The sequence below is a fragment of the Homo sapiens genome, chromosome 3 (assembly GCF_000001405.40).
Source record: "Homo sapiens chromosome 3, GRCh38.p14 Primary Assembly".
Lineage (NCBI taxonomy): Eukaryota > Metazoa > Chordata > Mammalia > Primates > Hominidae > Homo > Homo sapiens.
The window spans coordinates 99,816,336-99,831,981 of record NC_000003.12 but is presented as its reverse complement, the minus strand read 5'-3'; the positions used below and the strand labels follow the sequence as shown (position 1 = coordinate 99,831,981).

Below are 15,646 nucleotides of genomic sequence, written 5' to 3'. Positions count from 1 at the left end.
TACTGTGTGTCATACCAATCTGTCTCGGCCTTTCACAGTATTGAACTATGCATACCCAGGTAGGCTAGAGTTCCAGGTGAAGAAAAAATAAAGCTTACATCTAAAGGAAGTTCAATTATGGCAGCACTTTTCCAAGTGTGGTAGGCCAACCACCTGAGTTGAAGAAATCACTCTGAGAGTTTATTAAAAATGTGAATTGCTGGACATATCCACAAACCAATGAATTACAATGCATAGGAGTAAGATTCAGAAATCTACAATTTAAAGACGATCCCAACATAGATTTTTGAACACTAAATTGGAGACCCAATCTAAATCTTGATAAAGTTACAGGACATCACAGAAATCCATCTTGGGAAGGCTATTATTAATGCTATAGTCACAATATTAGCAGACTTGATTAGTCTGTCACTGACTTCAACTGCAGCTTCTACTGCTCATGGCTTGGATAATATGGTTGTTCACAGAAATGTCCTGATCTCCAAGTTGTTTCCTTCCTTTTTCGTCTTTTAAAACAATTTAGTGTTCCTTTTTCTCATAGCATACTTACTATAAAATATGTGGAGAACACAGAAAATGTAAGAAAAATCAAAAGTACCTGTAAGTCCACTAATCAGGGTTAACAACCAATAGCATGGGTGCATTTTCTTTTAGTATTTTTCTCTTCACATGTAAATAATTAAAGCATGTACACAGTTTTAAATTCTACTTTTAACATATCTAAGTAAACGTTTTCCTGAAGCTTTGGCCTCATTAACAAAGCATGTTGTCATAATTATACTATAATTCATTTAACACATCCTATTCATTTAACTGTCCATTTTTCATCATTATAAACAATGCTAAAATCAAATATCCTTGACTGCCTCTCTACATCCTAGAAAAGATTCATAAGGCTCTTGATACATACTACCAAGCTGTTCCACTAATCATCATTGGAGCTGCCCATCTCACTCATACTGTGAAAACTTTTAAAAGTCTGAAGGCCCAAGTCAAATGCCATATTCTTCATGAAGCACTCTTAAAGACAATCTCATTCGAAATTAACCTTTCTCTGGCAATCTCATGGCTCTTTGAGATTAATTTGGGACACTACTCTTGTATATGTCCTACTACACCGTGATTGCCAAATATCTATTCATCTCTGTATCTACCACTATCTCTATCAAGAACTGTGCACACAGCACACATTCAACACACACCAGATTACTTTACTGACATTCTTTTCTTCAACCTGACGATCTTTGATCTGATACATCCCCAGAAACTGGTGCTTTCAAAGCCAAATCCTCCAAACTGACTCCATGTCCTAAACAATTTCTACTTCTCCACCAACTGTACCATTAATTACCTTTTGTTCTCTTGTTTAATTCAAGATCAAGGAGGTATGCAAGCAGAGAATCCCAGCACGGATCCCTAAACCGAAATCTACAGGCATCACCAAGATTTCCACTAAAGCCCCCACAGTGCCTATGGATAAGCCTATTTACCAAAATGGCTGTGGGAAGCTACACATCGTGAGAACTGTCACCTCCAACACCTTCCTCCACGTGGGAGGGAGAAGGTAACTCATACCAATGCACTGCCTGGATACATTCATCTACAGAAATATGTGGAAAGCTAAAATTACCACTATGAAAGGCCAAAGGACCATCTCTCCAGGAAATGGTGAAGCAGCTTTGTGGACCTGATGAAGATCATCCCCCAAAAAGCAGCACGTCTACAATTATTTTACTTCTATATGTGTATATGCACACACAAACACTCGCAGGCCTAGACCCACACCCAAATCTACCCATTTCCTCATCCGACATATAATCTAACCCAAAGATGAACTATCTAGAATCAGCCTGGGATAGGACTGAATTCACTAGAACAGTTCAAGAGTTTTCTGGTGAAAACAGAAGTAATTCTTCATTCTACAGAACTTTGCTGATTAATCATATTTTGCTAAGAAAAGGTGATAGCAAAAATTCCTAATCTGAGTCAAGAAAATCAGATTATTTCCATCAAGATGACAGGACAATTAAAATCACACTTTAAGGTCTAAAACTATGATTTCTTTATGACCAGGAGGGAAAAAGCAAAGTGATAATTCTTAAAGGAGGAAAAGCATAACAAAAGTGAATAACAGCCGAATATATCCTTTGTGCAGAATACCTGACAATCACTGGTGTAGTAAGCATACCTGACCACTGGCACTTAGTCTCAGTAACATTGAGATATTTTAGGGAGACATGAATCAATATTCCAGGTGCTTGAAAAAATACAGAATTTATCATCTCACAGGACATTGTTTATTCATATCTCTTCTCTGAATAAACACTATCGAAAATCAGTTGATTCAACAAAAGCTTGGGGTTAGGAGACTCAAATTCCAATCCTAGATTTTCATTCATGTGACAACGAGCTTTGCATTCATCAATCTAAGCCTTGAGTTTCCACATGTAAAACAGGAAAGTGAAATAATTCCTCAGGTCCCTTCCAGTTCTGATAACCTATGAATATGCCCAACTATTAATACAAAATGTTGAATTCAAACAGTCATCTATAAGGGTAGACACAGTCCCCTGGCAGAAAGCTAAAGCAATTCTTTACATCACACTGAAAACTCTCTCATTGAATTGAGAGAAAGGTGTGCCTGTAATTCAGTGTGGACAGAGTAATACAGGACATTTTAAGACAAGGCATGTTTGACACAAAAGGCAGTTCAAAAAACATTTCAAAAAGCTTCAATCGAGGGGGGAAAAAAATCAATGGAACGACACTAAACATTTTTTGTGATCCTTCACTAAAAACTGGAAGCATGACCCTGGAAGAAATCCTCATGGTTAAGGACTGCTTTAGCCAGCTGCCCTGGGTTGGAGCCAGCAGAGCAAGAGTAAAGGAACTCCCATTCCCCATACTTATCTAACTAAGTCCACCTCATTGCACTAATGCCACTGTACAAACACCCCCAGGCCCCTGCAATTTCAAGGAGGAGAAGGAGCTAGAGGCCTGGGCAGCATTGAAAGGGATGATGGGCAGCATTGAGAGGGATGATGGGCAGCATTGAGAGGGATGATAGGCAGCATTGAGAGGGATGATGGGCAGCAGTCCCAGCAGGCAAGTGGCAGAGGGCAGTAGGGGGAGGTCAAGTGAATTAAAAGCCTGAAATGGAAAAGTCGAAGTGAAAGGAAAGCAGGAAGAGAATAGTAGAAGGGGATGGACTACAAAAGAAGGTGAAGACTGGGCATGGTGGCTCACGCCAGTAACCCCAGCACTTTGGGAGGCTGAGGTGAGAGGATTTCTTGAGGCCAGGAGCTCAAGACCAGTCTGGGCAACTTGGCAAGACCTTGTCTCTCCGAAAAGAAAAAAAAAAAAAAAAGCCAGGTGTGGTGGTGCACACCTGTAGTCCTAGCTAATTAGGAGGAAGAGGCAAGAGGACTGTTTGAGCCCAGAAGTCCGAGGCTGCAGTGAGCATGATCACACCACTGCACTCCAGACTGACTGACAGAGCAAGACCTTGTTTGTGGGGAAAAAAAAAAAAAAGGGTGCAGTGATGAAGCTCTAACATCAAAAAAAAAAAAATACACGTATGTACAGAGTGCTTAGTATTGTGCCTCACATAGAGCAGGTATTTGATAAATCTAGAGTGAATAGAGAATGAGTAAATGAAGAAGAGAAGGCCATTCAGTCAAGACATTTTCTCACTTGAGAAAACATGCTAAGAGATAGCAATGGTATGACAGGGTTAGGAAAAGTAGTTATGCCCAGGTGACATTCAACATTGGTAATTATGCTAATAGAAAAAAAACCCATTGGAATCCCTTAGTGAAAACCAAACAGGTTGAAAAGAAGCATAAAACAGGAAAAACAACATGCACTAACAATAGTCCCAGAAAAACAAAATACCTTGGGAAAAATTTTACTCTGAAATGAAGCACAAAATACGTTGTATGTTGAAGCTTTCAAAATTGTTTTCTCCCATGTCAGGAGACTTCCTAAAGTACATTTTTATCCAAGCTAGCATAAGTTTAAGAGGAAGCACAAAAAGAGGGACAAGATAGTATACAAAGTACTAAAAAATTTAGGTAGAAGCCAGGCACGGTGGCTCACGCCTGTAATCCCAGCACTTTGGGAGTCCGAGGCGGTGGATCACCTGAGGTTGGGAGTTCGAGACCAGCTTCACCAACGTGGAGAAACCTCGTCTCTACTAAAAATGCAAAATTAGCCGGGCATGGTGGCGCATGCCTGTAATCCCAGCTACTCCGGAGGCTGAGGCAGAAGAATCTGCTTGAACCTGGGAGGCGGAGGTTGCAGTGAGCCGAGATTGCGCCATTGCACTCCAGCCTGGGCAGTAAGAGCAAAACTCCGTCTCAAATTAAAAAAAGAAAAAATTTGCGTAGAAAAATGTTGACACTTCTATGGGAACCAGCAGAAACTCATCTTTAAATGGTAATGCAGTTCTAATCCCATTAAGACAAAAGTCTTCAAAGTAAAGTTACATTTGCCGGGTGCGGTGACTCACACCTGTAATCCCAGCACTTTGGGAGGCCAAGGCGGGCAGATCACATGAGGCCAGGAGTTTGAGGCCAGTCTGGTCAACATGGCGAAATTCCATCTCTATTAAAAACACAAAAATTAGCTGGGCTTGGTGGTGCATGGCTGTAATCCCAGCTACTCAGGAGGCTGAGGCACGAGAATCGCTTGAGTCTGGGAGGCAGAGGGTGCAGTAGGCCAAGATCATGCCACTGCACTATAGCCTTGGTGACAGAGTGAGACTCTGTCTCAAAATAATAACAATAAATAAAGTTATATTTTAACAAAAGGATTGACAACCAAAAACCATGCTTGTTTCAAGCAATATGTATTAATAATATAATAAAAATGCAAATACAACTATAAAGTGAGAATACTATTTGGAGTTCAAAACAGTAATGTCTGACCTATATGTAACACAACTGAAATATAAAGCATCTTTCCTCCTGGGCATGTTGTTTCCGCAGAAGTGTGGCCTCTGAAGAAAAATGAAAATAAAAGAAGCTGACCTAATAATTCTAGAGTGATTTCACCTGATGAACTGTTTCAAAGTAAGCAGATAAAAATCCAAGTGAGTGAAAACAAATCCAATTTGTAACAAAAATGTTAAAAACCTGATACTTTTAAGCTGAAGTCTTTTCCTGGTCCTTCATTTATTTACCTTCAAGGTTTCTGAACTAATCTTGAGATATTTTAGAATCAAATATCTGATTTTAACAGATATGTGACTGGTCTAATACATAGCTGATAACTACTAAGTAACGGAGTAACTAAGGTAAAACACAATTCTCTCTGGATTTGTTTCAAATTTCTTCTCCTGAAGACACGTGACATACAATTCACGATGTGACTTTGAGTTTGGGGCAGCGTTTGCAAACTGCGGTTCACAGGCCAAATTCAACCCACTGTGAAAGTTGAAAAACAATCAAAATAAGACTATTTTGTGACGTGAAAATTACATAAAATTCAAATATTGTTGTCCATAAATAAAATTTTATTGGAACACAGCCATACTCATTCGTTTACACATTTATTTTCTATGACTGCTTTTACACTGCAACAGCAGTTATGACGGTGATGACTGGACCCACACAACCTAAAATATTTATTATCTGGATTTATATGAAAAAAGTTTGCTGACCTCTGGTCTAGTGTGAACTAGAACAAGGAACTCAGAAATAGGAATTTAAGAGCTTGATCAACTACTTTTTATAAGCAATATTAGCCATTTAAAAATCAATTAAGAATTCTATGAAAGCTGATAAAAATGGGGAAACTATATTTCAAGCTGTGATATATTTAGTAAAATGTATAATTCTATGAATGCATCTGAAGTGTTCCACTAAATAACATCAGATTAACAACAGATAAAAGACTTGTGCTGGGCCGGGCTCCGTGGCTCACACCTGTAAATCCTAGCACTTTGGGAGGCGGAGGCAGGCGGATCATGAGGACAGGAGATCAAGACCATCCTGCCTAACGTGGTGAAACCCCCCTCTACTAAAAATACAAAAAATTAGCCAGGCATGGTGGCATGCACCTGTAGTCCCAGCTACTTAGGAGGCTGAGGCAGGAGAATCGCTTCAACTCAGGAGGCGGAGGTTGCAGTGTGCCAAGATTGCGCCACTGCACTCCAGCCTGGGGGACAAGAGCAAAACTCTGTCTCAAAAAAAAAAAAAAAAAAAGAAAAAGAAAAAAAGAAAAAAAGATTTGTGCCACAAAATGATATATTATTATTGAATCTGAGGGAGGAAATGGAAGTTATGTATAGGCCTTCCACATTTATGAGTTGTATTTTTCAAGAGATTCATGGACATTTAGCAAAATTATAGCAGGAACTACCTGACATGCAATTTAGGGAAATATGCATAAATTTCCACCTTTAAATGTTCGTAATTGTTGTCAAGAACCACTCATTTAATCATCTGAAAGAACTGTGGAAATTATATGCAGTAAATTAAACCAGACCATGAAGGTTATCTAAGTGTCCATCTGTTACAGCCTTCAAGTGTAGAGCAATGACTAATAACATAGTCATTTTTCTCCCTCCTCTTTCTTCTTTCCTTCCCCTTGCTTTTTAAATTCATCCTGCCCCTGTGTTTTGCCCCTGAATATCTGTCAATACTATTTGCATTTTGACTGAACCACATCAATGTGTAAATCCTGTAATGTAAGCTGATTATGTTTTTTCCCTCTAATTCTGGTACAGTGTCTAAAACAAGGCTAAGCATGAGAGCTTGACGAATGATTATGAAAACAACATGCCCAGAAGTCGATCCTCTGTTGTGTGTTATTAACATCTCCTACAAATATTCCAAGTCTGAATTTTATATGTAGAGACAATGCCTTACAACATCTACAATGCAAGACTGTCTATATGTAAAACTAATACTGTAAAGGTTTAACTTTGGTGTGAAAATAGAAAAAACACAGAACAAAAAAACCTGGGTACTTGGGTTTAAAGAAAAGATCCAAGGTGCTCCCCTACTCCATTTCCAGAAGGAATTCACCATGGATAAAGCAATATAATTTGAAGAATATACCATAAAATGATATTACAACAAAAATATTTACAAAGCTCATTTCAGCAATCTCAAAAAGAATAAGCACATTGATTCTAGGTGACAAAAGCTGTCACCAGTAAAAATTACAGGCTTATTTACAAAGAGTCTCTTGTCCTCTTTCCAAACGTAATTTATAAAATTAAATCCAAATATGGTTACAATAAAATGTTAGACACAGTTTTACAAGGACTACTAATGTAATTTTGAAAAGAGAAAAGCGGCATTTGCCAAATCTGTCAAAAGCCTGGACAGGAGTTTGACAAATCTGCCAGCAGATCAAGGTTCTTTTGATAAAGATCTCCTAGGTTGAGGTCTTCAAGGTGTGACTACGAAATATTAATAATTAATTGGTTAACTAACAAATACTTAATGAGTGCCTTCGCTGTATCCAGATACTACTCTAGGCCCTGAAACTAAAGCAAACAAGACAAACAAAATACCTGCTCACATGGAGCTCTTACAGTCTACTGCTGGGAAAAAGTAATTAATTTAACAAGGAAAAATAATAGTTGGTGCTAAGTGCTCTGCTGAGAATTATAATAACATAATAATTTAATAGATATTGTGATAATGTAATAGAGCACCTAGATAGTTACTCTAGACTGCCTGATCAGGAAGCGCCACTCTGAGTAGGTGACGTTTGAACTGAGTACTTAATGTTAAGACAGAGCCAGCTGGCCGGGCCTGGTGGCTCATGCCTGTAATCCCAGTGTTTTGGGAGGCTGAGGCGGGCGGATCAAGAGCTCAGGAGTTCGAGATCAGCCTGGTCAACATGGTGAAATCCCGTCTCTGCTAAATATACAAAAGTTAGCTGGGTGTGGTGGCAGGCGCCTGTAATCCCAGCTACTCAGAAGGCTGAGACAGGAGAATCATTTGAACTCAGGAGGTGGAGGATGCAGTGAGCTGAGATCGCACCACTGCACTCTAGCCTGGGTGACAGGGCGAGACTCCAGCTCAAAAAAAAAAAAAAAGAAAGAAAGAAAGCCAGCCAATCAGAAGGACAGGACAGAAAGGAAAAGAACAGCTAACACAAACGGCTAAGTAAGACAGAATGAGTGTGGCCTACTGAGGAACAGAATGAAGGCTGGTGTGGGTGGGGCAGCATAAACTATAGGGGAGTAAATAGTAGAAGACCTGGTGGCCACCAGCCATGGTAAGTAATCTGAATTTCATTCTATGTGCCAGGGAAAAAGCTATTGGAAGATTTAAGCAGGAAAGTGGCCTGACTTCTTTTCAAAAGGCCTCTAGCTGGTGAGTGAGGGACAAGGTGGAAACTCTGAGCCCTGTTAGAAGCTTATGGCAGTAAGGATGAAAATGTATACTCCAATGGAGGCAGAGCGAAGAAAAATGCAAAGAAAGAATCAGGATATGTTTTCGAGGTAGTGACAACAGGACTTGATGGATGAGATATAGGGGTGAAAAAAATAAATAAATCAGAATACTGCTAGGCCTTTGTGAAATTGGGTAGTTGGTGGTTTAATTTATGGAGACAGGAAAGTTTGGAGAAAAAGCAGGTTTGGAGAATAATTCAGTAGCTGGGTCTTGTTTACATTTGACATCCCTATTAAATAACTAAGTAAAGATTTAAAGAAGGCAGCCACATATGTTAAGCTTTGAGCTCCAGGATCAGGTTTGAGTTACTGGCAGAAATGGTTCTCAAAGCCCAAATGGAAAAGCTGCTTATTTGTAGCTCCAAGTAACCAGTGTTCTTTAAAAGAGTAAACTTTGGAAAACTAATAGACACAATTTCATAATGATATATAAACAAAAGACTTTCTAAATTATGAGTCTCTTTAAGCCGATAACAGATTATTCCTTTAGAGATGAGATTCTTACCACTGATAATGAGAATGCGAAATATAAGCACACAGGCTCTGGTTTCAGACTGCCTGCATATGAATCACAGCTCCCCTATTTACCAATTAAATAGATAGTATTGGGTGAATTAAATTAAATAGTATTAAGTAAATCACTTAATTTCTCAGTGTCTCAACTTCCTCATCAGTAAAATAAAGATAACAACAGTAACTACCGCTGGTGTACTTGGGAAGATTAAATTAACTAGAACATGTAAAGCAATCAAAACAGCATCTGGCAGGTAGTTAAGTGCTCAACAAATGCAAGCTGGTATTATTACTATTATTATTATTATCATTATTATTTTGAGATGGAGTTTTGTTCTTATTGCCCAGGCTGGAGTGCAGTGGCACGACCTCGGCTCACTGCAACCCCCGCCTCCTGGGTTCAAGCAATTCTCCTGCCTCAGTCTCCTGAGTAGCTGGGATTACAGGTGCGTGCCACCACGCCCAGCTAATTTTTTGTAGTTTTAGTAGAGACAGGGTTTCATCACATTGGCCAGGCTGTTCTCAAACTCCTGACCTCAGGTGATCCACCTGCCTCAGCCTCCCAAAGTGTAGGGACTACAGGCGTGAGCCACTGCGCCTGGCCGCAAGCTGGTATTATTACCTGCAGTCTCCTGGCACTGTACATAGCAGTGTCTTAACACTTCAGTTTTCTAGTTAGGTGCTTGGGAAGAGATGTCATCAAAGATTCAGAATGAGTTGGGGAGGCATATGAAAGACCCTCCTTAAAAGACATGGAGGCTCAATGTTACAGACTGCTAAGAACATGCTCTTTAAAAATAACCTATCTGTATGCCAGTTATTCCTAAATCTGTATCTCAGCCTGGATCTGGCCCTGGGGCTCCAGACTCACATACTTAGCTGCCTACTGGGTACTCGACTTGGTAATTTAATAGGTATGTCATTGAAATAAAAAGGGAAAGCAATTAGTATTCTCTTCATCTTCAGTGAGTAAATGATCAAGTAACATTTTCTTTTTTCTTTTTTTTGAGACAGAGTCTCAGTCTGTAGCACAGGCTGGAGTGCAGTGGTGCGATCTTGGCTCGTCGCAAGCTCCACCTCCTGGGTTCAAGCAATACTCCTGCCTCAGCCTCCTGAGTAGCTGGGACTACAAGTGCCTGCTACCACACCTGGCTAATTTTTGTCTTTTTAGTAGAGACAGGTTTTCTCCATGTTGGCCAGGCTGGTCTCAAACTCCTGGACTCAGGTGATCTGCCCACCTTGGCCTCCCAAAGTGCTGGGATTACAGGCCCTCAAGTGACATTTTCAACTGCAGAATCCCTTGGCTCTCTTCCTTAAGTCACGAAATCCATGCTGTGATTGACATTCTCTCAGTTTTCAGCTTCACACTGAGAAAGTACCCAGACCGGTCAACTACATTAAAATCTCAGGCATTGTGTTTGCTCATTTCAGCATTAATATTTTCACATCATTATTCTACTGAATGTATTACTTACTATAAGTCACTTCAAACAGTTGCTGAAGGTTTACAGGGAATAAGGAAATAAATCAAATATTAGATGCCATTAGATGATTCCTGGGGTCTTATGCCTAAGGCATCCTGGGCTGCACACTCAGCACTGTAACTCCCAGCTGTCTTATGTTGGGCCATGACTCCAATTGCCACCAATGGAGTGACTAGACATCCCTTAAGGACCAGGAGAGTCCCTGCAAAATTCTAATTGCATAGCCTTCCACTCACAAAAGTGTCTAGATTGGATGAGAAATTATATGTCTGCCTACATACTCTGTAGCAGGTAACACGCATACACACATATATTTATTCTGCCAACATCCACCAAACACCAATTAAGTGCCAGGTCCCATGTTGAGCTCCAGTGCAATGTAGAACTCTAGCACAAAAATGACAGGTTTTAAAGAGCCATGAAAACTTTGTTACATACCACATCTAAGAAGACATGATAACAGCCAAAAAATAGTACAGTTCCTTAGACAGACAACAAACAGATAGGCACATTAGATAGATGTTATAAACCATGTACAACCAACAAGTATTTGTAAGTGACTGAAATCTTCCACTGCCTTGCTACCATGGATGTCAAGTGGGAACAGATTATAGCAAAAATGTTTATTTTTATAGGCAGGTAGCATAATCCACAACAGGAATAAAAGCACCAATACAACTATCTTTCCTTTCTCTGATTTAACATATTATTTCTCCTTCAACTTTCAAAACAAAACATAATTCACATACTTTAGGCTGAAACAACAATTGAATACATTTGACATCCCTATCAAATAACTTAAGTAAAGACTTCAAGAAGGCAGCCAGGTAAGTAAGCCTTGTGCTCTAGGATCAAGGCTAGATCCCATCAACAAAAGAAGAATCAGGAAATCTGTGGTTCAGCTGTGATTTCTTTTGAATTAGAAACGCTGTACAGATTACAATTAGGCAAATTGCCAGTGAATAATCAAGGATATTTCAAATAAAGGCATATACTTACTTTGCTTAAGAGCAGCGAACAAAGCAAAGGCCTCTGATAAATTTAATGCCAGCAATTTTCAAAGCTTAGTCTTGGCCGGGTGCGGTGATTCACACCTGTAATCCCAGCACTTTGGGAGGCCAAGGCGAGCAGATCACTTCAGGTCAGGAGCTCAAGACCAGCCTGGCCAACATGGTGAAACCCCATCTCTACTAAAAATACAAAAATTAGCTGGGGGTGGTGGCAGGCTCCTGTAATCCCAACTACTCGGGAGGCTGAGGCAGGAGAATCGCTTGAACCCAGGAGGTGGAGGTTGCAGTGAACTGAGATCGCACCACTGTACTCCAGACTGGGGGACAAGAGTGAGACTTCGTCTCAAAAAAAAAAAAAGGGTTAGTCTTATGGCTAGAAGGAATGTAAGAAGTAGAGCAATCTTAGGCACTCCAACACACTGTCTTCATGAGAATTCTGGCAACTTAGATGAAGGAGGCTGTAGCGATTTAAAGTTTTACTAGATTCAGTGTTTAAAACTGTTGGGGGCCAGGCACGGTGGCTCACGCCTGTAATCCCAGCACTTTGGGAGGCCGAGGTGGGCAGATCACGAGGTCAAGAGATCAAGACCAGCCTGGCCAACATGGTGAAACCCCGTCTCTACTAAAAATACAAAAATTAGCTGGGTGTGGTGGCGGGCACCTGTAATCCCAGTTACTTGGGAGGCTGAGGCAGGAGAATCGCTTGAACCCAGGAGGCAGAGGTTGCAGTGAGCCGAGATCGTGCCACTGCACTCCAGCCTGGGCGACAGAGGGAGACTCCGTGTCAAAAAAAAAAAAAAAGAAAAAAAAAACTGTTGGTTGGTAAAACCCTAAAAAAGATGATCTTTAAGGGCTCTTTACAGATTATGATACAAAGGCCCAGAGAAGTCACAAAGTAGTAGCGGGAAAAGCGTGACTTTCAAAATCAATCACACTTGACTAAACTCTTCCCAGACCTCTTCTTCAATGTGTGTTCCTAAGAACACGACTTAACTTTTTTCTGTTTCTTCACCTATACAAATGAAGAGAATACTTACCTTTTCGGGATGTTATGAAAGTTAAATCAATTCATATTTATGAAGACATTTGTCACATAATAGATACTCAATACATGTTGACTGCCTTTCTTCCAACGGATGAATAACTTGAAAGTCACACAGCTAGTGAGGACTAGAACCAAGAATTGGGATCCCCTTCACCACTCAAACAGAATTCAACTATTTCTTAAATGGCCTCTGTTCATCTTCAATCATATCATAAAATAGAGCTTTTTAACACCTGAGTTGGGAGGGGTAGTTATTAAAGTAAATGTGGAACACCACAGGGCTGCAAAAGAGTCAGGAAGTTTAATCAAGGAAATGTTGTATTGGCTACCTTTCTAAAAATGACATCTGCTTAGTTTGTACCTGAAGGCTTGACCTTCCGGAAACAATGCAACAAATGAAGTTGGTTATTTTTAATGGATATTTCACAACTAGTATTTCAAGATTGTTTGCAGCAAATAGGTATCAAGTGTCTAACATGTGCAGGGCCCTGTGGATGACAGAAGTATGAATCTGACTTTGGCCCTGTCTTCTCTTGTAGAGAAAAGAGGCAGACCTTGAGGAGTGATAAAAACCAACCAACCAATAATTGCATGGTAGGTGTGATGGAACTTAAAAAGTTCAAGGCTAGCCTGACATGGGGGGTCACTTAACGCTACTCTACTTGGGGATGAAATGCCCACTGCATCAGGAGTTGGTAAACACAGCAGAGCATAGTAGAAACTATTCAAATTGTGTTAACTGAATTCTAGTATTGTTTCTGAAAGGAGCTAGCTTTGTGAACTTGTCAAGTTACTTGACATCTTTAGGTTATGTTTCTCATCTGTAAAATAAGTGAGTTCAAAGGATGATCTCTATTTAAGCCTCCTTCCAGTTCTACTATTCCAAATTCCATGATAATGATGATGACCACAAGAAATACAGTAACTTATATTTACCACACATTATATGTCAAGCACTATGCTAAAGTGCATTACTGTACTAACTTCACTTAATCTTCACAACTTTACGAAATGGACATTATTGTTATCATTATTTTACAGATGAGGAAAAGGAGGCTAAACAGTATCAGAATACTGGAGTCGTGATTTGAATGGAGGGAGTCTGAAGCAGCAACCCCTGCTTCTGACCTCAGTCTGAATTGAAAGCAGTTCATGGGTCACCCTTAACCATCATACAAAGTTGCCTCTCTTCACAAAAACTGTCTTATCCATTCTCAAGAAATAAGGAAAAGAGAAAGCTTGTGGAAAGGATCCTTCCTGGCTGGCAGACAGATCTGAGTTAATGTCACAGCTGTCTGTTTCACGTGTTAAAGAATCTCTTGCACCATTTTCCCCGAGATGCTTGCGCGCTCCCAAGGCGGTGCACACCCCTGCTGGGCAAACACCGCGATCGCCAGAAGCGACCAGGGCTGAGGCGCACGGAAGGGCTCCGGGAGAGGCCCCGTAGGAGCGCGGGCACAGAGTGGGTACCTGGGCTGCTGCCTGCTCCAGTCGGCTGGTTCTCCCACCACTCGTCTCCGAGATCGTCTGCCATTTCAGCTCAGGTCTCGACGTGGGCAGAACATCACGGGTAGGCGACCAGCTGCGGAGAATCACGTTGTCTCAAAGCCAGGCGGCCGGCGTAGCTACACGCGGAGCTCCCGCTAGACACTGTCGCCTCCGCCCCGCGGCGATGACGTCACACCTCTGCCCCGCCTCTCCGGCAGCCGCTCCCAGACTCGTCGCAGTTTCCACACAGGCGCCGACAGGCAGAAGCAGTTTGGAAACGCAACATAAATCCCCCCAAAGCTTAAAGACAAAAAGGAACATAAGACGAAAGGGATTGTCATCGTTTTTGATAATGCATTTTAAAAAATTTTGTTTACGTGTTACGTTTCCCGATAAGATTGTGTCGAAAGTGTGAGACACCATGTGAAGACGATTTTTCTCCGCTCAGTTTCAAAGAACTTGCGCAGCGGGAGAAGACCCAAACATGTGCGTGTGTTTTCGCTTGTGCGTCAGTGTTTCAGAGTTTATGTGTTTGTACAGTTTGCTCTTAGAAAACATGCGCAAGGATCCATGACCATGAATGTCGGGCCTTTGTGGTAAATGTAGTTCTGCTATTTATGCAATATGAGTAAAGAAAATGTAATTGGCCTGGAAAGGCTCGCCCACAGAAAGACGCAAGTGGCTCGAAGACCCGCAAGTTGTTTTCCTCATACTCCCTCGGTTGTGTGTCCCACCCCCTATTTGGGAAACGAAGTAATAAGGGAGTCCATTGCTTCGTAACTATAGGTAAGAGACCCGCAGTGCCTCTTGTCTCAGTCCCAACGTGATTTGGCAGGGAGGGACTAGGAAAACCCGCTGGGCGCCAAGTGCTGGGGCTAGCTGTGAAGTAATTGTGGACGGTATTTTTCAGGACATCAAACACAGACGTAAAAATTATACAAAATGTAGTAAAAGCACGCAACGTGCCTGGTACTATGCATGGAATAGTAAGATGAGTCCATTCAGATGTTAGCCTACAGTAGTGGAAATTCAATTTGTAGGAATAAAGGGCTAGACTTCTAATAGGATACATCCTCGGAAATGACAAGACAGGGAAACTTAATCTGATGAGGCTAGGATTAGCCATATGTGGAAAATTACCCCGTGTGCACCCAACTCATAGATGTTTTATAAATGCATTACTGCCTAGACTTTGTCCGCACACTCTAAATGCCCCAAAAGGGAAGATATTATGTATAAATATGGCAAATGTAAAATAATCTATAAAGATCAAAAGTAATATGGCTTTTGTGAAGAAATGTAGATGACGAGATTTTCGTGATTAATAGATTTTTGAAAAAGATAAGAAATGCCAGTGTGGAAGAGGAGTTGCTATGGCTAATAAACATGAAAAGAATTCAGTCTGATTATTAATCTGGGAAATACAAAAAAAACACCACAGCGAGACCGTTTTTCAGGCAATAAATCACAAAATTAAGAAGTATGGGCCGGGCGCGGTGGCTCAAGCCTGTAATCCCAACGCTTTGGGAGGCCGAGGTGGGTGAATCACCTGAGGTCAAGAATTCCAGACCAGCCTGGCCAAAATGGCGAAACCCATCTCTACTAAAAATACAAAAATTAGCCGGGCATGGTGGCAGGCGCCTGTAATTCCAGCTACTTGAGAGTCTGAGGTAGGCGAATTGCTTAAACC

General features: G+C 40.9%; 2 protein-coding genes and 2 long non-coding RNA genes across 7 annotated transcripts in view, besides 4 other annotated features; 2 read left to right on the top strand and 2 right to left on the bottom strand.

The window, feature by feature from the left end:
• FILIP1L (filamin A interacting protein 1 like) overlaps positions 1-3,171 on the top strand; it is a 285,691-nt gene extending 282,520 nt beyond the window's left edge. For all 4 annotated transcript variants that reach the window (NR_170715.1, NM_001387852.1, NM_001387850.1 and 1 more), the window contains one exon: positions 1,377-3,171. Coding sequence is in view for 3 of the 4 variants with exons in the window: in NM_001387850.1 (NP_001374779.1) it covers positions 1,377-1,568 (192 nt within the window). In the remaining variant the exon portion in view is untranslated. The remainder of the gene's footprint in view (positions 1-1,376) is intronic.
• Positions 1-14,120, bottom strand: part of CMSS1 (cms1 ribosomal small subunit homolog) — a 363,871-nt gene extending 349,751 nt beyond the window's left edge. The window contains exon 1 of the mRNA NM_032359.4: positions 13,939-14,120. Coding sequence (NP_115735.2) covers positions 13,939-14,002 — 64 coding nt within the window. The 5' untranslated portion in view covers positions 14,003-14,120. The remainder of the gene's footprint in view (positions 1-13,938) is intronic.
• The window catches only part of LOC105374010 (uncharacterized), a 223,532-nt gene extending 209,412 nt beyond the window's left edge, over positions 1-14,120 (bottom strand). Inside the window, exon 1 of the long non-coding RNA NR_189163.1 lies at positions 13,939-14,120. This is a non-coding gene — a long non-coding RNA (uncharacterized LOC105374010). The remainder of the gene's footprint in view (positions 1-13,938) is intronic.
• HP09053 (uncharacterized LOC101929357) lies at positions 8,117-15,350 on the top strand. Its single transcript, NR_110821.1, has 3 exons — positions 8,117-8,238; positions 13,008-13,062; positions 13,510-15,350. It is a non-coding gene; the product is annotated as an uncharacterized LOC101929357 (long non-coding RNA).
• Positions 13,395-14,269: an enhancer, noted in NCBI's record as "H3K27ac hESC enhancer chr3:99536557-99537431 (GRCh37/hg19 assembly coordinates)". NCBI's record gives its function as "activates a minimal SCP1, AML or CMV promoter by ChIP-STARR-seq in primed H9 embryonic stem cells {active_cell/tissue: H9 hESC(primed)}" and the evidence as "EXISTENCE:reporter gene assay evidence [ECO:0000049][PMID:30033119]".
• Positions 13,395-14,439: a biological region, named in NCBI's record as "H3K27ac hESC enhancer GRCh37_chr3:99536557-99537431".
• Positions 13,685-14,439: a silencer, noted in NCBI's record as "fragment chr3:99536387-99537141 (GRCh37/hg19 assembly coordinates)". NCBI's record gives its function as "represses an EF-1alpha promoter that drives an FKBP-Casp9 reporter gene in an ReSE screen in K562 erythroleukemia cells {active_cell/tissue: K562}" and the evidence as "EXISTENCE:reporter gene assay evidence [ECO:0000049][PMID:32094911]".
• Positions 13,854-14,163: an enhancer, noted in NCBI's record as "active region_20149". NCBI's record gives its function as "activates an Ori minimal core promoter by ATAC-STARR-seq in GM12878 lymphoblastoid cells {active_cell/tissue: GM12878}" and the evidence as "EXISTENCE:reporter gene assay evidence [ECO:0000049][PMID:35858748]".
• Positions 15,351-15,646: the final 296 nt, after the last annotated feature.